This window comes from Homo sapiens, chromosome 17, assembly GCF_000001405.40.
Source record: "Homo sapiens chromosome 17, GRCh38.p14 Primary Assembly".
Classification (NCBI taxonomy): Eukaryota; Metazoa; Chordata; class Mammalia; order Primates; family Hominidae; genus Homo; species Homo sapiens.
The window spans coordinates 62,733,510-62,754,084 of NC_000017.11; the positions used below are offsets into that span (position 1 = coordinate 62,733,510).

Here is a 20,575-nt window from a genome sequence, read left to right on the forward strand (position 1 = left end):
TAAATTGGCATTATTTAGTACAGTGGAAAATGTGTTCACCACCAGCCCACCAGCCCACCAGCCCAGCTCTTCCACTCCTAGACAAGATCCCAGAGAACTCTTCCACACGAGCCAGGAGACATTTACAAGAATGTTCATGCAGCGCCATTTGCAGCAAACAATAAAGGACACGAATGTCCATTGACAGAATGGCTAAATTGTGGTATATCCATATGAGAGAATACTTTGTAGTGTGAAAAGAATAAACCAAAGCCAAATATATCAATAAGGATGCATCTCACTAAGGATGTAAGAGGAAAAAGCAAGTCACAGAAGACTAGAGATTCTATTTCTACAGAGTCAAACACTTGCTCAGAGTTCATAAATATACACAACATATTGTTTAGAAAAACTGGCTGGGTCGGTGGCTCATGCCTGTAATCCAGGACTTTGGGAGGCCAAGACGGGTGGATTGCTTGAGATCAAGAGTTCGAGACCAGCCTGGCCAACATGGTGAAACCCTGCCTCTACTTAAAAATACAAAAATTAGCTGGGCATGGTGGTGTGGGCCTGTAATCCCAGCTACATGGGAGGCTGAGGCACGAGAATTGCTTGAACCCTAGAGGTGGAGGTTGCAGTGAGTCGCGATCATGCCACTGCGCTCCAGCCTGGGAGACAGAGTAAGACTCCCTCAAGAAAAAAAAACAAAAAACATATAAACATATGGTAAAAGCTCAAAGCAAAAAACCCCAAAACACAACACAACGAAATGCAAAAGGATGATAAACGCAATACAGGAATGGTCAGGGTGGGTGTGGGGAGCTGAAGGTGGGAAGATGAGAAGATAGGGTGGGTGAGGGGCTCAGGAGGGCTCCAGTGTGTAAGGAATGTTCTGTTAGCTGGACGGTGGGCACAGGGGTGTCTGGGTTTGTGTGTGATGTGTGCGCTTTAAAAATTCTCTGAAGTGTACGTATGTCATGTATTAATTTATATGTATTAAGATAACTGAGGTGAACTTTTAAAAACATGTGATTGAGAAATAGGATTAGATATTAAATTAAGGCATATTGGAAAATAATATCAACAGATACTCACTAAAAATTGCATTTATATGCAAAGATAAAAGACTAGAAACAATGTTTTTAACTGTTTATCTTTGGATGATAGGGTTACAGGTGATTTTTCTTTTAAATCTGTATTTTTAATATTTCCCAAAAGGAACAAATTTGAAATAATAAGAAAAGCATAAAGTTTATTATATACAGAAAAAAGAGAGTGTCTGGATAAACTATTAATAGGTACACGAATAATAGCTGTTTAATGCAAGACCATGCCTGGAAGTGAATGCATTTTCAAAGAAATTATTTTTAGCTCAAGGGCATCACTTTGGGATGGTAGAAATTTAGACTTCTGACAAGTAGGTCTGAAGCTGTATTTCTGGGGAGGTGAGGATTGGTGGGTGTAAGGTCTCTTGCCCCTTAACCGTGGGTCGGTCTTCTGGTAGCTTAATGTGGAAAAGAAAAGGTACTGCTAACTAGAAAGTTACTTCATTACTGGAGTTGGATAAATGATATTTATTAATAGGAACAGGTATGCATTCTATGTTCCATTTTCCTCTCGTTTTTACCTTTCTAATTCACAGCCCACATGAGTCATGCTAATATACACAAAGAGGGCTCAAATTCCAAGAATCAATTTCCAGATCAGTAAGCCAAGATCAGAGCATGGTAAACACCTATCATAAATGAAATGGTAGAATCCTGACATGGTGTTTAATGATGGCTTTACAAAGTATCACATTTCATAGCTGTGAACTATCCCCAAATCATCTCACAAAAAAGGAAAGATCAAAGAAAAGGGCAATTCAGAAAAGATCTTATTTCTCTCTCTCTCTTGCATGAAAAAGAGCACATAAAATAGAAGCAGTGGTTACCCCAGCGTGGCCCTTCAGAGAACCGAGGTAACTATGGTAACTAAGAACGGTCTTTTAGTTCGCAAGGTTCGAATTCTAGAACTGTTGGTTGGATTTGGGGTAAGTCCCATAAGGGAGAGCTGCGAACTTCAAGTGTGGACTGGTTCATTCTCTAGGGAGATAGCAACCTTTTCCTAAAAAATCTTGGTTCTTCATTGCTGGAGAGAAGAACAAGCCCTGTGAAGCAGTCAGAGATCCTTATACCCAGCAGACTTAAGGGTGTGGTATTCAAGGAAAAAAACACTTTGGGAAATAGAGAAGAAACTGATCAGGAACACCAGACTTTTCTTTATAAATACGTATATTTTAAGAGCAACAAAACAGAGACAATTTTCTCAAAATAAGCAACCACTAAAATGTCAAGGAAGGACCCATTTATGACTTAAAATTCCCATGGCTCTCTAACGAAAGCAATGCTAATTTTGGCCTTGGGAAAGTGGAAAAAATATATAATTATGAAAAGTCCTCACCTTTCTTGCAATTTCTTGAGTTTCTCAGGGTCTGCCTTTATCTTACTGGTTTCCTTTTCATCTGTGAAACCAGAGGCTGCCATCCTGCTCCCATTATCATTTTGATTTGGGAAATGAGACACTGCAAAGAAAGTAAATGGTGTATTTTCTTGCAGAGACCCAGACACATGCAAATGGCCTTCTGAGTTCATTCTTGATGGAGAGGAGCTGGAAGAATCCACTAAGGACAAATTGCCCTGTGGATTTAGTAAGAGATCTGTATATAGTGGAGCCCCCTGAGGCTGGCTTGTTAAAGTAGTATCTTCTGCTTCCCTGACAGCAAATTCGTGTGCACTGTTTACTGGGAAATAATTATGGTTTTCGGCACTGGCAAATGGAGTCCTATTTCTAATGGGAGACAGTGGTTGGCAAACATGAAACCCTGAGTTTCCCTCTGAGTCTGAGCTGTGAACTGAAGTCGATGACATTGACAAGTCTACTGGAATATCATCTCTCAGAGCAGAATGCATGAATGATGCAGGAGGGTTATAGGATGAATTCACTGATGATCTTGGAGATATTGGTCTGCCAGAAATAAAGTAGTCAAGAGAATTTTGAGAACTGTTTAAATAGTCTTTCCAGTATCCTTCAGAATCATGGGTGCCAGGCCTATGTTCCACAGAAATACAATCACTCCATACATTTTCAGCATTGACACCAACCTCTTGTCTGGGCTCGGATTTGGTGTCCCACGAAAGAGGGCTCTTTTTCGCATTTTCACTGCCACCTCTGTCCTTCTCTGTAGCAGATTCCCTATCAGGCAGCCCGGGGTCTTGGGACAACCTTTGCCCAGCAGAAGGCCGCTCTGTTGCTGGCTCCATTGCATTGCTTATTCTCAATGAGCCATGACTGGGCTCACTTCTTCTTGAAGAATGACCTCTGCAATTTTCAGCATTTTCTTCAAAATTTTTATTTTTGGCCTGAGGGGTCGATGTCCCCCCAAATCTACTTCTTTTGTGATGGGAAGGAGAACAGGGTGAGCGCACACCAACCCACAGACATTCTTCAGACTGGGTTTCCTCTTCAGTGTCATCGCTTTCTCTTCTGCTGTTCAATGACAAAATGGAATAAAAGTCTTCATCTCGGAACCTAAATGATGCCTTTCTTGGCCCTCCTACAGTGGTGGGTGTGAGTGGTGGCCCCGAGAACTCACTCAATACTTGAGGACTATTTTTTCCTTGGAAGGCCTGGGACAGGGCTGGATGCAGCTCACTCTGGGAAGGAGCACTCGGGTCTCCTTTTTTGGCTCTATCAGGGGCGTTCTCAGTCATTGGCTGTGACGATGGGACCAAGTTTCTTCTCTCTTGATTTGGCCTCTTCAGCTTAGTGTTACACATCAGGCCTTCTTGTTGAACTACTTGATCTGCATTGAGAAAAGACACATTTATCGTTCCAGTAAAAGGGCCCATGGATGAAAGGCCTCTAGCACCAAGTGCAAAATTGCCCTTTAAATGCAACAGACAAGACCTAGAGAAGAAAACAGACACGGTCAAAATGGCTGGAGGTACAAGAGGAGCAGAGCCCAGCAGGCTTCATTTTACTGCCCCGTATTCTCCTTTGTACCCCTGTGGTCCTAGGGAAATGGGGGGACCCTGAGGATACAGATTCTTTCTGCAGAAGCTCCCGGAAGACTGGCCCAGCCCCAGCCAGTCAGGACTGATGATGCGCAAACCTCACACTAAATACTGGCTTTTGTTCCATACGTACTGAAAGGGAAAACCACCACTCTGGGAATGACTTCTACAAAAACCACCAGCCCTTTCTCATCCACGTTCATTCAATGTACATTTATGACACCCTGCCTCCCACGCAGCTTTACAAGAACTTAAGAGAAGTATAACATGTCTTGGCAGATCAGGAGGAAGGCTATAGGAGCTGGCGCCCGGGGAACACTGGGGATTTTGGTCATGTTTACTATTTAGTGAAAATAAAAATTATAAATCGCTCATGAAATCGTTATCTTCTCTTTGTCACTAGCCCCAGGTCAATTCTGTAACTTCTGGCTGCCCTAGAATCCCTACTATGAATTCCTACACAGAATCACTGAACTGGCCAGAAGCATGCTAACTGTCTCTCTCTGTCTCTCTCTGTCACACACACACACACACACACACACACACACACACACACAACTTAAGCCTCACAACCCTGTGAAATAGGTAACACAATCATACGACATTATAACTTGAGAGTACCAAGGCTTAGGGCAGTCACATAACTAGCCCAAGATCCTATTTCCAGTAAGTGATGGAATGAACATTTGAACCCACGCCTGCTCGATACTAGGGTTTGTGTTCTTAACCACCACCCTGTGTTAGCCCTTAAGAAACTGGCTGGCCTTCCGATTTCCTTGTGAAAATGAGAATCCATTGAATTCATCGTGGTGTGTGTGTGCTGTTGAGGGTCTTTTACCCTCTTGATGTGAGAAGGAAACTGACAGTACTTCTCTGATGCCACTTACCTTTATTCCCTCCTGACATCGGCCTCCCCCCGCTTTGTTCTCCTCTCTGCTATTGTGTGGGATCTGATGAGATGCTGCTCTTTTTATCATTCCATTTCTAAAGCGGTTCACCCTGTAGAGTGGACGGGACTCCACGGGCCCTGGAAGGTCTGTGTTGATAACAGCTCGGGCTGGTGAAATGCAAATCCTCAGAGCATCGGGCACCACCAAGGGCCAAGTCAATTCTGGCTCACTTTAATTGGGGCTCCTCACAGGGGGACACCAGTGTGAGTCTCTAATGTCCTAACACTCGGGCAGCTTCTTTTATTGTTAACTGCATGGGACACTCAGCAACGCAGTATGAATCTTGACTCATCAGCTCTTCTAGAAATCAGTTAAGCTCTCCTCTCAGGCCCCTCCTGGGTTTTATAAACCCCAGTTAGAGATGCAGCAGCAATTCAAGGATGCTTTGAGCATCTGGCTGTGGAACTACAGCGCTGGAGCTGGTGGCGAGGCCACTCCAGACTGGGCCGACCCCCATTTTGGGAACAAATGCTTCTACGTAAGCAACTGAATTCTCCTGAAAATTTTTTAAAATAGAAAAGGGGGCTGGGGGCTGTGGCTCACGCCTGTAATCCCAGCACTTTGAAAGGCCGAGGTGGGCAGATCACTTAAGGTCAGGAGTTCAAGACCAGCCTAGACAACATGGTGAAACCCCATCTCTACTAAAAATACAAAAATTAGCCGGGTGCTGTGGTGTGTACCTGTAATCCCAGCTATTTGGGAGACTGAGGCAGGAGAATCGCTTGAACCCAGGAGGCAGAGGTTGCAGTGAGCCCAGATAGTACCACTGCACTCCAGCCTGGGCAACAGAGTGAGACTCTGTCTTAAAAATAAATAAATACATAAATACATAAATCAATAAAATAGAAAAGGGATCCAGAGGAGTTGGCAGTGCAGGCTTTGGCTGATGACTTTTTTTTTTTTTTTGAGACAGAGTTTCACTCTTTTTGCTGGAGTGCAATGGTGCGATCTCGGCTCGGCTCACAGAAACCTCCACCTCCTGGGTTCAAGCAATTCTCCTGCCTCACCCTCCTGAGTAGCTGGGATTACAGGCATGCTCCACCAAGCCCGGCTAATTTTGTATTTTTAGTAGAGACAGGGTTTCTCCATGTTGGTCAGGCTGGTCTCCAACTCCCGACCTCAAGTGATCCGCCTGCCTTGGCCTCCCAAAGTGCTGGGATTACAAGTGTGAGCCACCGTGCCCGGCCGGCTGATGACTTTTTGTTTTGAATTTGTTGGAGGGCCTTGGAGGTGAGCTCACAGCGCTGGAACCGGAATCTTCCGGTCATTCCCTGAACGCACATGACCCATCCCTGTGAGGAGAAACACCCAATGGGCAAAAGAATCAGCAAGGGCCGCTTTTGAAAAACAGAAACTGGAAGCTCAACGGGAGCCATTAGCTCATCTCATAGAGGCCACTGAGTTGCCACAGAGTGATGCTGGCCTGGGGGACAGAAGAAGTCCCAGGGTATGCGCGGTGTTGCGGCTCCTGCAGATTCCTGAAACATGCATCTTCACCCCTGTCTCGTCACCACAATGGTCTTCCTCTTTAAAAATTCAATCAGAGCTTCTCTGCAGTGTGTGTGTGTGTGTGTGTGTGTGTGTGTGTGCGTGTGTGTGTGTGTTTCCCCTAAAGGTGGCAGACTGTGCCATTCTCGATTTATGCTATTTTAACCCTATTTTTTTATGTCTATCAAATAGAGAGCAGATTTCAGGAGCTCTAGGGCTGGGAATAGACAGGCACACTGGTATGCCAGGGATGTGCTATTCATAGACCAGGCCCTGCAGATGCTGCAAATGCTTCTCTGAGGCCCTGGGCTCCAGCTGTGAGTGAAGTGCCTGCCATCTCCAGGAGTTCTAGGGCAACAGAATGAAACCAGAACAAGCATCTGTCTGCCTTAAGACTATGCCTTCGACTTCTTGGTGTGCTTGACCAATAGTTTCCTACATTCCAACAGCCACACACTTTTAACTTTTTTCCCTCTGGTTATAAAAGTGGTTTATCATCATTGGAGAAAATTTGGAAACTATAGAAGAAGATGAAGAATAAAATAAAAATCCCCCATAATCCAAAACTCGGATGATCATTGCTATTGTTCTGGAATTCAGAGTGGGTTGCATACTCAAGACCCCAGGGCTGTTTTCATCCTGCAATTGTGCTTTGGCTCAGCTTCTTTTTTTCTTACTTTTTTTTTTTAATTTTAGAAACAGGGTCTTGCTCTGTCACCCAGGCTGGAGTACAGTTGTAGGCTCAAACAATCCTCCTGCCTCAGCCTCCTGAGTAGCTGGGACTACAGGTGCATGCCACCACACCTGGCTCATTTTAAAATTTTTTTCTAGAGATGGGGTCTCACTTTGTTGCCCAGTCTGGTCTTGAACCTCTGGCTTCAAGCAATCCTCCTGCCTTGGCCTCCCAAAGTGCTGGGATTACAGGCATGACCCACCGTGTCTGGCCATGGCTCAGTATTTGAACAATGAATTTATTACCTTTAGGTGGAACATGTATATTGTAGCTTACCACAGGCTCCATAACCCGTTATGCATCTGTCCTGCTATATCCACCTGCTCCCTGAAGGCATTTGAATTTATAACCCAGGGCTCTCTTATCAAGAGATATTTCTTAACAAACAAAACTGAAGTGAAGAAATTAAGTATCTTATTATGAGCATTATGCCATGCCATTAGCTATTCTTTAAGAACATGATATTAATTATAGTATAAAGGTATATATTATAATTTGTTAACTCTTCCCCTATTGTTGGGTATATAGGTTGTTTTGAGGTTTGACTGTCAGCGATTACAATGTGATAAATGTCCTTGCTCATACATTTTTGACTATATATTTTCTTAGACTAGATCTATGGGAGTGAAATTGCTAGGTCAAAAGGTATGAACTTTCTAAGAGGCTTTGACACGTTACCAAATTCCTTTCCAGAGAGTTTTTACCAAATGACCCAACAGGTAGGCTATGAAAGCATCTCTCTCATAACTGTCACCAGCAATCCATGTCAGTAGCATAGACACAACAGTGCCCAGGAATGTTCGTTGTTAGTTTCACTACTAGTATTACGTATCATTTTTAAAACCTTAGTCAAATGGGTAGGCCAAATTTACGTCATGTAGATTTACATTTATTACCTTCTGAGGTTGAACTTTTTAAAAAATATGACCTATATTGTCTCCAGATGAACTTTAAAAAAATGTTTATTAGCCATCTGTATTTTTATTTTTATTTTTTTTGTGAGACAGAGTCTCACTCTGTCACCCAGGCTGGACTGCAGTGGTTATCTTGGCTCACTGCAAGCTCTGCCTCCCGGGTTCACACCATTCTCCTGCCTCAGCCTCCCGAGTAGCTGGGACTACAGGTGCCCGCCACCACGCCTGGCTAATTTTTTTTTTGTATTTTTAGTAGAGATGGGGTTTCACCATGTTAGCCAGGATGGTCTCGATCTCCTGACCTTGTGATCCACCTGCCTCGGCCTCCCAGAGTGCTGGGATTACAGGCATGAGCCACCGCGCCCAGCCTGGAAACTGTTTTTTTTTCTTTTTTTCTTTTTTTTTTTTGAGATGGAGTCTCACTGTGTCACTCAAGCTGGAATGCAGTAGGCATGATCTTGGCTCACTGCAACCTCCACCTCCCAGGTTCAAGCGATTCTCTTGCCTCAGCCTCCGGAGTAGCTAGGATTACAGGCATGTGCCACCACGCCCAGCTAATTTTTGTATTTTCTGTAGAGACAGGGTTTCACCATGTTGGCCAGGCTGGTCTTGAACTCCTGACCTCAAATGATCCGCCCACCTCAGCCTCCCAAAGTGCTGGGATTACAGGCATGAGCCACCATGCCCAGCCTCCTTCCTTATTTTTCTATTAGGTATTTGTGTTTTTCTTATTGATTTGTGAGAGCTTTCTGCATATTATCTCTGTCATATTTGCTTCAACTCTTTCACTGATACAATTCAAATACCTGGCTCCTACTCCATTTTGTGCAAACCACTTTAGAATGTGAGAAAAGAAGCTAAAGGGAGACTTGTGAGGAAATAATTTGGGGAGATAAGGAGCCACGGGTATAATGGGACATTAGGATGAATTCTCATCAGGTCACAGGATGATGGGCGATGACTCCTGGGTGCAGACAGAATTGTATGAGTCCCATCCGTGGGTCCAGGAACATTTCACACATGGAGACGCTTACCTTTCTCCTTCCTTCCTTCCTTCCTTTCTTTTTTCTTTTTTCTTTTTTTTTTTTGAGAAAGTGTCTCACTCCATTGCCCAGGTTGGAGTGCAGTGGCATGTTCACAGTGCACTGCAGCCTCGATGTCCTGAGCTAATTTATTTATTTTTTTTGGAGATATGGGGTTTCACCATGTTGGCCAGGCTGGTCTCAAACTCCTGGACTCAAGTGATCTTCCACCTCCGCCTCCTATAGTGCTGGGATTACAGGGGTGAGCCACCCTGTCTGGTGAACCTCACCTTTCAAATAATATTCAACAGTTCATTAAGGGTTGTTGGCAGGAGAGAAACTATAAAAAGTTCAGTGCCCACTGTGTGGACTTATTCTGTGCTGGGTGCTGGTCAGTGTATTATTTTACTTAGTTATTATAACAATGCAATGAGGTAGATTTCATTATCCTTATTTTAAGATAAAGGAACTGGTGCCCAGAGTGGCTACTTTAGCACCCAAGATGCCATTGCTGGGAGGAAGAGCTGGCATTGGAGCTGAAGGCTGCCTTAAAGCTCATGCCCTTCCCGGCAGAAGGCATTGATCACTGGGACCCTGTGGACATCTCCTTGCTGCAGACTCATATATGCAGATTCCAAGCCATCAAAATACTAACACATTCTTCAATATGTATATATGTCCACCACCATCTATATCACATTTAAAAACAAAGGCAGGCCGGGTGCCATGGCTCACGCCTGTAATCCCAGCACTTTGGGAGGCCAAGGCAAGCAGATCACTTGAGGCCAGGAGTTTGAGACGGGCCAACATGGTGAAACCCTGTCTCTACCAAGATACAAAAAATTAGCCGGGCATGGTGGTGCGCGCCTGTGGTCCCAGCTACTTGGGAGGCTGAGGCATGTGAATTGCTTGAATCCGGGAGGTGGAGGTTGCAGTGAGTCGAGCTGGTGCCACTGCACTCCAGCCTGGGCAACAGAGGGAGACTCTACCTCAAAATAAATAAATACAATAAAAAAATAAAGGCAACTGTGTTCATTGGTCATGACATAATGGGATGCTCAGTGGTTTCCTAAGAGAAAGAATGGGTCTATGGCCAGGTTGACTGTGAGGTGATGCTTTCCATGAGTTCCAAGGGGGTGATACACCAAACCAGTCTTTGGGAATAAAGCATAGATTCGTTCCAATATTGTGTATTTCTCACACATCATGATCTCTCTGAGTTGAGTGCCCTGGGTCAGAGGGGAGAAGATCTCTGCTGGGAGGTGAGCAGCCTGTCACCCACAGACACACATCCTCCCTATCCCAGGAACTAAGTGAGAACAACTGCCAGGTGGGACATGCCCCAGAGTTGCAGATCCGCTTCTCTGCCTTCCCCAACCCCTGCCATCTACCACCCAAATGCCATCCACCATCCAAATGCCCTCTGGAGCAGCTGTACAGCTGGTGTCCACTCAAAACCAGTTACACTCATGGAGTTATGGGAGAGAAAAAGATATCCCCCCCGACCCCGCCTTCCCCTTTTCCCACCAGCCTCTCTTGGAGGAAAAAAAACGCCAAAAGCCCTAGGATCATACAATTTGCTTTTAAAGCTGTTTCATTTTAAGGTACATGCACCTCATTTACTTAAAAGTACAAGTATCTAAAAACCATAAAGAATTCACCGGGTAACAGCAAAAATCAGTCCTCCTCTCCAAGGACAAAGGTTCGGGAGCCCCGGGTCCTTACCTGCTCCCCTGGGAACCGGCACCTTTGCAGGCCACTGCTGTTTCTGTCTGCTTCTGTCCCCAGATGCTCTCGGGCTGTGCGATTCTGGGCTGACTGTAAATCTCCTCAGGTTTGGCTTCCTCTTTCTTAATAAAACCATTGGTGCTTGGTCTGCTGAAAGATGCAAAGTCTTTTCAATAATTATTTTGTTTACAGGAAAATGTCTTCCATATAAAGAACGTTCAAAGGGCCCAGCAATGTTTGGGGGTGGGGTTAGGTGGAAGGGCAGTCAAGAGAAGGGACCCAGGAGGTCACAGAAGAGCTGGATTTGAAATCTGGTTTCATGTAACCATGTGAGCTTGGGAAAATCACTTCACCTCTCCAAGCCTCAGTTTCCCTACCTGCTACATGGAAATAATCATGCCTCCTTCATAGGATCACCTGAGGTCAGGAGTTTGAGACCAGCATGGCCAACATGGTGAAACCCCATCTCTACAAAAATACAAAAATTAGCTGGGCATGGTGGCGCATGCCTGTAGTCCCGGAGGCTGAGGCAGGAGAATTGCTTGAACCTGGGAGGCGGAGCTTGCAGTGAGCCGAGATGGTGCCACTGCACTCCAGCCTGGGCAACACAGCAAGACTCCATCTCAAAAAAAAAAAAAAAAGCCTCCTTCATAAGCACCCATGATGCCTGCGATGCAGAGGCCGAAGGTAGGGATCTTTCCTTTTGCTAAGAAGTTTTGTCTTTTTTTCTTTTTTTTTTTTTAAGATGGAGTCTTGCTCTTGTTGCCTAGAGTGGAGTGCAGTGGCATGATCTTGGCTCACTGCAGTCTCTGCCTCCCAGGTGCAAGCGATTCTCCTGCCTCAGCCTCCTCAGTAGCTGGGATTATAGGTGCCTGCCACCATGCCCAGCTAATTTTCGTATTTTTAGTAGAGACAGGGTTTCACCATGTTGGCCATGCTGGTCTCAAAGTCCTGACCTCAAGTGATCTACTCAGCTTGGCCTCCCAAAGTGCTGGGATTACAGGCATGAGCCACTGCGCCCAGCCTTGCTAAGAAGTTTCTAGGTTCCAATCCATAGGTGTTGGGATATGCCCGCTAGCAACACTGTCAAGAGCCTTCTACAGTTGGGACACGCAATGGCCCTGCCTCCCAAGTGCTCATCCAGGTTTGAATCACAACATATTTTGTATAATACCTGCATATTTATATCCTCAGGTTTATTAGCAAACATGCCCGTACAGAAAGGTTGCAAGCATCTGGGAACCGTATGCCTTTCTCTTTCCTGTCCCCTACCCTCCACTGTGTTGGGACGATATTCATAGGAAGACAGTAGCTGGGGTGCTATTGTGGACCTAGTTTCCAATGAACATTATCTTTTTAATCTACATTTTGAATTGGGTTGCTAATTGATACAGTTTTGAGTTTCCTCTTCACATGTATTTAGCGTCAGTGCACGTGAATGTGGAGGAAAAGTTCTAGTATATACCATGCATCTCTACAAGTTCTTGGGTTTACAAGGCAGTTACATCGTGAATATCTGGACGAAATTCCCCAAGATCATTTGTCTGGCTCATCTTCTTTAGACAGTTTGGAAATTTCACAAATAGATGTAGCCAGCTGGTAACATAGGGATAAAGCCGGGGAAAGCCCCCGACTTGTGTGTGAGAGCACAGCCTTTTTTGGCACATGAGGCAACTGGAGTCATGTTCCAGAGTGTAAGTTGTAGTCGTGTGAATAGTTTTCCTCCAGATTCAGGAAGGGAATTAAAGTTCTTTCTGGCAGCCCATGAAACCTAATTTAATACAATGACTAGGTCTACTTACTTCTGACGGGCCCCAGGAGGGCATGGCAGTGGGTCCTGCAGGCCAAGACAGAGAGGATCATGCCCCGCAGGGAACTTACTAGAAGAGGGAAGCTGCTGGTGGTGTCGGAGCAACTTGGGGCAAGTTGGTGGAGCCCAGAGAAGTTGTAGGTGTGAAAGGAGAGAGTGAAAGTTCTCTGGAAAATGAGAAGATAGTCTTGGGATGGCGTAGGATGTTGATTAGACATGATTTTGCTGATCAAAAAGGGGGTGAGAGGAGGAAGGTGAGAGAGTGAGAGACAGAAAGACAGAGAGAGAGAGAGGGATCAGGTGTTTTACACTAAGGGATCCATCACTGAGGGAAGGAGGGAAGCATTTTCCCACTACCAAAAGTTGCATTCCTTGAACATAGAAGCTTCTCCCTTATCACCTGAGACCTCAGACCCCCTCAGTTCTCAGAAGTCCTGCCTCCTGCTTTCCAACTCATGGAGAGAAGAGGAAGAAACAGAAGAAGGGCCAGGGAAGGGGCAGGCGTGGGGCTCAGGCCAAGTCTAGAAGGTCAGGACCTGGCCCCAAGGTCCTGAGGATAAGAATTTCACTTTGATTTCCAGCAGGAATCCCAGCAGAATATTCAAAGTTCCCACGCACCCCAGGCAGCAGAACTTCACACTGCCCAGAGGCCACTGAGCCCCGCCACTGCATTCACCTTCACAGGGAGGGATGCTTCTGCTCATGGGACCTTTCTTCCCCAGACTGCACCAGCCAGAAGGTCCTCCGAGGTCTGTTTCCGGTTTATTCCACCAAGTCGGCTCTGACTCTGCTTTGGAAAAAACCCTTACTTTCAGCGTTTTTAAAAAATGGCCTTTAGTGTTTAAATATTCTAAAATTGCTTAATGAGTATGTCTTTTCTCTCCAACTAGCCTGCACGCTCCTTAAGAATGAGGATCGTCTCTCAGCCAGTCTACACGTTGCCTCATACTGCTGTGCAGGACAAGTATTAATTGCCTTGTCGTGCAGGACAAATATTAGTATGATTTGTGAGGCTTGAGAAGATGCATTCAGCCCAACTACAGGGGAACTTCAAAACTAGAACACATTTTTTTGTTGTGCAGAACGCCCAAGATGGCTTAAGATAAAAGGTTATTTAATTTGTTTTCTTGTTCAAAAAAACTGCTTTCTTCAAAGCATCAGATCTCTTAAATGATTGCCAAAACCATTACCATGTGTCCTCTAATCAAGTTCTCAGCAAACTAAAATAATAAAGCTGAACAACTGGAGATTGTTGTACTAGGCCTGGCAGTGAAGAAATCGCTGCTATTAGTGTAGGCAGGATCCTCTGACCTTTGGCAACTTTAACCTCAGTTTCTGCAACTGTAAAATGGTCCATCTTGTTACTGTGAAGTTTAGCAAAAATGTACATAAATGGCCTAACTGGTTCATGCTAGGTGCTAATAATGGTAGCTGCTTCTTCTACTGTAAAGAATACTACCACTACTACTGAGAATAATAATGGGAAATCTGAAGTCATTCCCATGAGACAACTGAATTTGACCAGAAACTCATTGTTATGCAGACTTCACAGGTTGGCAATAACTTATTCAATAGCCTTCATTCCGGTGTAGTTCTTGTTGATTCTCTCCCTCAATCCTTCTTTTATAAAATCCAAAAGGCAAATAGCAACTCTTTATATTATGATTTGTTCAACAAATACCTGTGTGCCTTTGCTATGCTATAATTTGAGGGTTCACAAAGATGAACAAGATGTTGCCTCATGACCTTAAAGATTATTATAATCTAATTTGGCTGCACTGCTGACTTCTTCCCTGTGATACCCTTTTGGTTCCATGGAAAACAAAACTCTTGCAAAATATTTTCTCTTCTCTGTCTGTAAGTGCAGTCACAAATGAGGTGACCTAGATTGCACAGTTTGTGTGTACATGGGTTTAAGAGTTTCTAGGTCCAGGCACGGTGGCTCACGCCTGTAATCCCAGCACTTTAGGAGGCCAAGGTGGGTGGATCACGAGGTCAGGAGTTCAAGCCCAGCCTGGACAAAATAGTGAAACCCCGTCTCTACTAAAAATACAAAATATTAGTTGGGCATGGTGGCACGCACCTGTAATCCCAGCTACTACGGAGGCTGAGGCAGGAGAATCACTTGAACCTGGGAGGCGGAGGTTGCAGTGAGCCGAGATCACACCACTGCACTCCAGCCTCCAGGCCGGGCGACAGTGCAAGGCTCCATCTCAAAAACAAACAAACAAACAAACAAACAAACAAAAAAGAGATTCTAACATTCAGCCAGGCATGGTGGCTCATGTCTGTAATCCTAACACTTTGGGAGGCCGAGGCAGGAAGATCACTTGAGCCCAGGAGTTTGAGACCAGCCTGGGCAACAAAGTGAGACTCCTGTCTCTACAAAAAAAGAAATAAAAAATATTAGCTGGGTGTGCTGGCACATACCTGTGGTCCTGGCTACATGGGAGGCTGAGGCAAGAGGACCATTTGAGCCCCAGGAGGTCGAGGCTGCAGTGAGCTGTGTTTGCACCACTGCACTCCAGCCTGGGCAAGAGCACGACATTGTCTAGAAAAAGAGTTTCGAACCCTCAATTTGTATACCAAGTTCCCATCACTTCACTTGCATGAAAAGTGAATCAAATTTCAGACCTTTGGGGGCTAGGATGGGTCTTTACCATGTCCATGGATTCATAATCTGCAGGAAGACCAAGTCCTATTTACCCTGGACGATGAAATTACCTTCCTTTTCAGGTAGCAGGACAAGCCCTTTGCCTTACAGAAAAGGAAGGGGTTTGTGTTCAGGAGTTTCACTGCCAGGTAACTCAATATCCTGTTTATCAATGAATTTTGGGAAGACTTTGGTTTGCTTTGGACAACATACAGACCCCCTACTTCCAGGATCTGAGAAAGGTGATGCCTCCAGTTTTAAAGAAACCAAACAGCTGTTTAGATTAAAGGCATCTGCCTCTGTTCTCTTGACAATGTTGGGAAACTGTGATTGTCGACTGAAGACTTCTTAATTTGACCAGGAAAGGGAAAAAAAAGGTAGAAATCTTATATTTGTACAAGACCCTGACAAGTGAGAACCAAGTCCATTCAGCTGTTCACGTTCGGCTCTTCCCAACACTTGTCATCCACAGATAGTTCTTTATAGACAAAGTCAAAAAGGAAGCATAAAAGGGAAATACAGTTCCGGAACCCTTATCCCGCCCCACATTACTTTGACTGGGATCTCTGGTGCCTAGGAGGTGCCAAGATCCCAATGGAGAGACAACTCTTTGAAAAAAAAAGTGTGCTTTCTTTGGATCCTGGGAAGAATTACAGCTTAATCGCAGGAGCCAATGTTGCCTTGGGGTAATAGGCAGCTTTCTGTGCAGTCACAAATAATAGGTCGCGTCTATTTGCCTATTTGAGTGTGCGAGAAATGTGTGTTGTCTCATGTACCCAGAGGAGATCTTAATTAAAGCTTAATTATGTACCATAAATATGTTTTATTTTGGAACTCAGGGGTGGGATTTTTGATTTTAGGAAATGTGATGCCTAATAAGTAGGCAGGAAAGGGAATGTAAACATCGGCTGAGCCTTTTCATTTGTCCCTCCTCCGAGTGGTTCTGAATGGGTTTTGGTTCCAGTGTGTGCCTTCAGAACGGCCTGCCCCCGGTGCCACCGCTCAGGGCGGCCTCGGCGTGTGCACATTCACATAGCCAAGGGTATGATCAGACGCATTAGGAGAGCCTGTTTGGTTTCTGGGGGTGACATTGCACAGCGTGCCAGCTACAGGAGGTAAGAAATCAAATGAGTCTCCAGAGAGGATGGGATTTTATTGGTCGCTCGCTCCTTTGGCGCTAGAAGGTGCAGCCCCAGTGCAGTGGCCACGCTGTCCCATCTTCCTGCTCCCCCGAACACCACGCCGCCTGGTATTGTTCTTGGTGTGGCCTCTGGCCCCTCTCCTGTCCACCTGCCTTCCGGAAGCCCGAAGTCCCCTCTCCCCGACTGCGCTGTGCTGTGTGCCTTGCAAGAGTGACTTACCACATGAGGTAAATCCTACTGGGCCTTCTGGGGCCCTGAAGGCACAGCACAGGGGTCTCAGCCGGAGTGGGGCAGGAGATGGGGAAGTAGCACAGCACGGCGGGGGACTCGGGCACGGGGTCCGGGGAGGTGGAAGCGGTGCTTGTGAAGGAGGGAACGGTAACCAGAGGGAGAGGACAGTCAGGAGGTTCCTGGGCCACTGGGGAGGCAGGTGGCACTAGTGGCAGGAGGAGGCAGCAGTAATTGGTATTGGGCTGCAGGACAGGGGAGAAAGCAAAGACGGAGCAGTAAGGGGTGTATTCAACACAGAACAGGGGGTGCTTGCTGCTGCCACCTGCACAAAAGAAAAAGAGCAGTCAGGAAGCAGCACTGGCGGTGGGGGGAAGGACATAGAAACGTCTGCGAATGAATCCAAACTCAAAAATTGTTCTCCAATGTCATAGGAGCAGCAGGCCTGGCTCCTGCCCAGGAGGCACCTGGCCTAGATCTCAGCGTCACTGCGGAGTTAACCAAGGGAAGCGGCACCAGCATCACACCCTGTTCCAGCCAACAGTCTCCAGCGTCCCTGACAGATGTCGGGAAGTTCTTTTCCCCGTAAGATCCCGGAGAATGTCCTGAGGCTGCCGTGTGGAAGCTCTGGGGCCTTTCTCGTCTCCCACTGCCAGCTTAATGAGCTGTGCTGGTAGCAACAGATGGCGCCCCGCAGGGTCTCACTTGGGTAAGGCTCTCTCCCTCAATCCTCCAGCTGCCCCCGCTAGCAGGCTGTAGTCATGCCCTGATCTGGCCTTTCTGCTGCGGAGGGGAAGCTTGGGAAAAAGAGAAAGAAAGGAGAGAGATCCCGGCGGGATCATGCGAAGGGAGAAAAATCAAGCTGGGTGAAAAGCAGGTAAACAAGAGAGATGTCTCGTTGAAGCTGATGATCTGTTCACTAACCTCACGCTCAAACTGCTAACCTCGCTGGAGGCAGAATACGGGTGCCTGATGGAGTCATGAGTCAGAGCTACCCCCTCACGCCTGACAAATCTCAGCTTTGCCACTAACCAGCTGGGTCACCTTGAATCGACGGCTTACCTGCCCGGAACCTGTTTCCTCACCTGCAAAACGAGACGGGTGTTTTTTCTAGCCTTGCTCCTTCAAAGGTGGTTCACAGACCAGCCACATCGATGTCACCTGGGACTTCTTAGCAATGCAGGATCTCAGCCCACCCAGACCTTCTGAATCAGAATCTGTAGTTGCTCAAGAGCCCCAGGTGTTTCTCATGAATGTTAATGTTTGGAAAAGCAAGGATCTGAGACAGCTGCCCAAACCCTGGTGATGAGAATCACCTGTTGTTCTTGTTCAAAAATAGTTTCGCAGGCCCCTTTACTGGAGATTCTGATGCTGTGGGTCAGGGACAGGAAGCAGGAATTTTTATTTTTATGAAGAACCTCCCTGGTGATTTTTATTGTCAAAAAAGTTTGGGAGATGCTGCAGCTAAAATCAGTTCCAAGTCTAAAATCCACAGTTGTAGCCATCCAGTTGAAAACTATCACCTAAGGCTGGGCGTGGTGGCTCACGCCTGTAATCCCAGCACTTTGGGAGACCGAAGCAGGCGGATTACTTGAGGTCAGGAGTTCGATACCAGCCTGGCCAACAGGGAGAAACCCCATCTCTACTAAAAATACAAAATTAGCCGGGCATGGTGGCGCATGCCTGTAATCTCAGCTATTTGGGAGGCTGAGGCAGGAGAATCGCTTGAACCTGGGAGGCAGAGGTTTCAGTGAGCCGCGATCGGGCTATTGCACTCCAGCCTGGGTGACAGAGCAAGACTCCATCTCAAAAAAGAAAAAAAAAAAAAGAAGAAAAGAAAACCATTACCTATCGTGGAGGGGTCTCAGTCCTTAGTGCCATGCTACAGAGGATTCGAGTAAATATTATCCACTTCTTTCTTCCTAAATGGCCTCTGGAGTGGCTCCTATTTCTCGGGATCATTTTTCTCTCTCTAGCTGTCTTCACTCATTCTTCTCTTTACAGTTGTTATCTCCCAAAGTCCCCCCAACATCTCTCTTCTTACTCCATCCACTCAGGGGAGACATTCTTGCCATTTCAGCCACCTCTTACTCACTGCAGGCCCTTGGGTCCTACCAGCAAGTGCTCTGGGAGGAAGGGGAGTGCTCTGTTGGGCAGGAGACCTGGGTCCCCAGGTGCTTCCTGGCATTGCCACCTGGCTGCCCTGCCTGCAGCTCAAAGGCAACACCGCAAAAGGGGACCCACCCTCTCCTTGCTTCCTCAGCCTTGGCAGAGGCAACCTCCACTGACCTAGTTTCCTGGGCCAGATTCCTGAGTTCTCTTTGATTCCTCTTTCTTCCTTATCCCTACATCCAAGTCACCAAGTTCTGCCAGCTTTACTTCTTAAATGGCCCTCAAGCCCACTCCCTCTTCCTATTCCCTCTGCTTTTTTTTTTTTTAATAGAGATGGGGTCTTGCTATGTTGACCAGACTGGTCTTGAACTCCTGGCCTCAAGCAATCCTCCCATCTCAGCCTCCCAAAGTGCTAGGATTCCTTACAGGTGTGAACCACTGCATCTGGCCCTCTTCCTTTTGCTTTTGCTCCCGCTCAAGCCCTTCTCATTTCTCCCCCATCCCCTGCAACTGCTACTTGTCTGGTCTCTTGGCTGTGTCTGGCCACCCTCACACTCTCAGCTGGCCCTTCTCCATGCTGCAGTCAGAGTCAGCTTTTAAAAATCCAATCTGATTGCATCACTTTCCTATGCAGAGCCCTTCCAGGACTGATGCCCCGTCGCCTCCAGCATGACATTTAAGGCCCTTGGAGGCCTGATCCTTGCCTACCGGTGGGGCCTCAACTTTATATTTCCTAATTTGTAGCCTGACCCTAAACCAGAAACCAGAGCTTCTCTCTCTCTCTCTCTCTTTTTGAGATGGAGCCTTGCTCTGTCGCCCAGGCTGGAGTGTGGAGTGCAGTCACGTGATCTCAGCTCACTGCAACCTCTGCCTTCTGGGTTCAAGCGATTCTCCTGCCTCAGTCTCCCGAGTAGATGAGATTACAGGTGCGCACCACTACATCTGGCTAATTTTTGTATTTTTAGTAGAGATGGGGTTTCATCATGTTGACCAGGCTGGTCTTGAACTCCTGACCTCAAGTGATCCACCCACCTTAGCCTCCCAAAGCGCTGGGATTACAGGCGTGAGCCACCACGCCTGGCCCTAAACCACAACTTCTGAAACTCAAATGTACATAGGAATATCCCTGAGATCTTCTTCAATGCAGGTTCTGAGCCAGTCAGTCTGGACTGGGGCCTGAGGTTCTGCATTTCTAAGAAGCTCTCAGATGATGGTTTCTGCTACTTGCCTGGGGACACTTGGAGCACAAGGCCCTAGATTATCTGTAGCTCCTCGATATGTGTCTCTCCCTGTCTTCCTTGCTCCCTCTCCTCCGTTCCTTTGCACACTCAGTACCTGCTGCCAGGCACATCTTTCTTGCCCTCTTCACCTGGTTAAACCCCTGTCCTTCAGGATTTTCACTCCACCTGGCCCTGCCCACAAGCTCTTAGAACTTACCTTGGTCAGGGTGCGCCTTGCACTATCTGCCCTTATTGGAATCCTGCTCACCCACCAGGCTGGGAGCCCTGGAGGGCAGGCCCCGTGTGTTTTGTGTTCTGGTTCCCCATTACCCGGCAGGTAAATACGTATAAATGAAGTGCTGAATGAATGAGCAGTGGATGAGTACACCAGTTCGCCCTGGTATCATACACCCTGGGACGTGGGGGACAGTTGGATGTATTTGCTAACATCCCCATAGGTACTGGATAAACGGATGACTTCACTGATGATCAAATCGTTAAAATTTTTAATAATCAAATTATAACCACTTTTTTTGTTGTT

General features: G+C 46.3%; 1 protein-coding gene and 1 long non-coding RNA gene across 17 annotated transcripts in view, besides 3 other annotated features; one reads left to right on the forward strand and one right to left on the reverse strand.

Annotated features, from left to right (window-relative positions):
- The window catches only part of MARCHF10-AS1 (MARCHF10 antisense RNA 1), a 31,717-nt gene extending 27,304 nt beyond the window's left edge, over positions 1 to 4,413 (forward strand). The window contains exon 3 of the long non-coding RNA NR_147886.1: positions 2,577 to 4,413. This is a non-coding gene — a long non-coding RNA (MARCHF10 antisense RNA 1). The remainder of the gene's footprint in view (positions 1 to 2,576) is intronic.
- MARCHF10 (membrane associated ring-CH-type finger 10) overlaps positions 1 to 20,575 on the reverse strand; it is a 107,001-nt gene that overhangs the window by 32,196 nt on the left and 54,230 nt on the right. For 6 of the 16 annotated variants that reach the window (XR_934406.4, XM_005257095.4, NM_001288779.2 and 3 more), the window contains 3 exons: positions 13,356 to 13,469; positions 10,867 to 11,019; positions 2,422 to 3,823 (listed from right to left, as the gene is read on the reverse strand). Coding sequence is in view for 15 of the 16 variants with exons in the window: in XM_005257095.4 (XP_005257152.2) it covers positions 2,422 to 3,823; positions 10,867 to 11,019; positions 13,356 to 13,469 (1,669 nt within the window). In the remaining variant the exon portion in view is untranslated. The remainder of the gene's footprint in view (positions 1 to 2,421; positions 3,824 to 10,866; positions 11,020 to 13,355; positions 13,470 to 20,575) is intronic. The other 10 variants (XM_005257102.4, XM_011524437.3, XM_005257103.3 and 7 more) reach the window with 4 other exon arrangements.
- Positions 6,425 to 7,080: an enhancer, noted in NCBI's record as "NANOG-H3K4me1 hESC enhancer chr17:60817295-60817950 (GRCh37/hg19 assembly coordinates)". NCBI's record gives its function as "activates a minimal SCP1, AML or CMV promoter by ChIP-STARR-seq in primed H9 embryonic stem cells {active_cell/tissue: H9 hESC(primed)}" and the evidence as "EXISTENCE:reporter gene assay evidence [ECO:0000049][PMID:30033119]".
- Positions 16,284 to 16,893: an enhancer, noted in NCBI's record as "H3K4me1 hESC enhancer chr17:60827154-60827763 (GRCh37/hg19 assembly coordinates)". NCBI's record gives its function as "activates a minimal SCP1, AML or CMV promoter by ChIP-STARR-seq in naive and primed H9 embryonic stem cells {active_cell/tissue: H9 hESC(naive and primed)}" and the evidence as "EXISTENCE:reporter gene assay evidence [ECO:0000049][PMID:30033119]".
- Positions 16,894 to 17,502: an enhancer, noted in NCBI's record as "H3K4me1 hESC enhancer chr17:60827764-60828372 (GRCh37/hg19 assembly coordinates)". NCBI's record gives its function as "activates a minimal SCP1, AML or CMV promoter by ChIP-STARR-seq in primed H9 embryonic stem cells {active_cell/tissue: H9 hESC(primed)}" and the evidence as "EXISTENCE:reporter gene assay evidence [ECO:0000049][PMID:30033119]".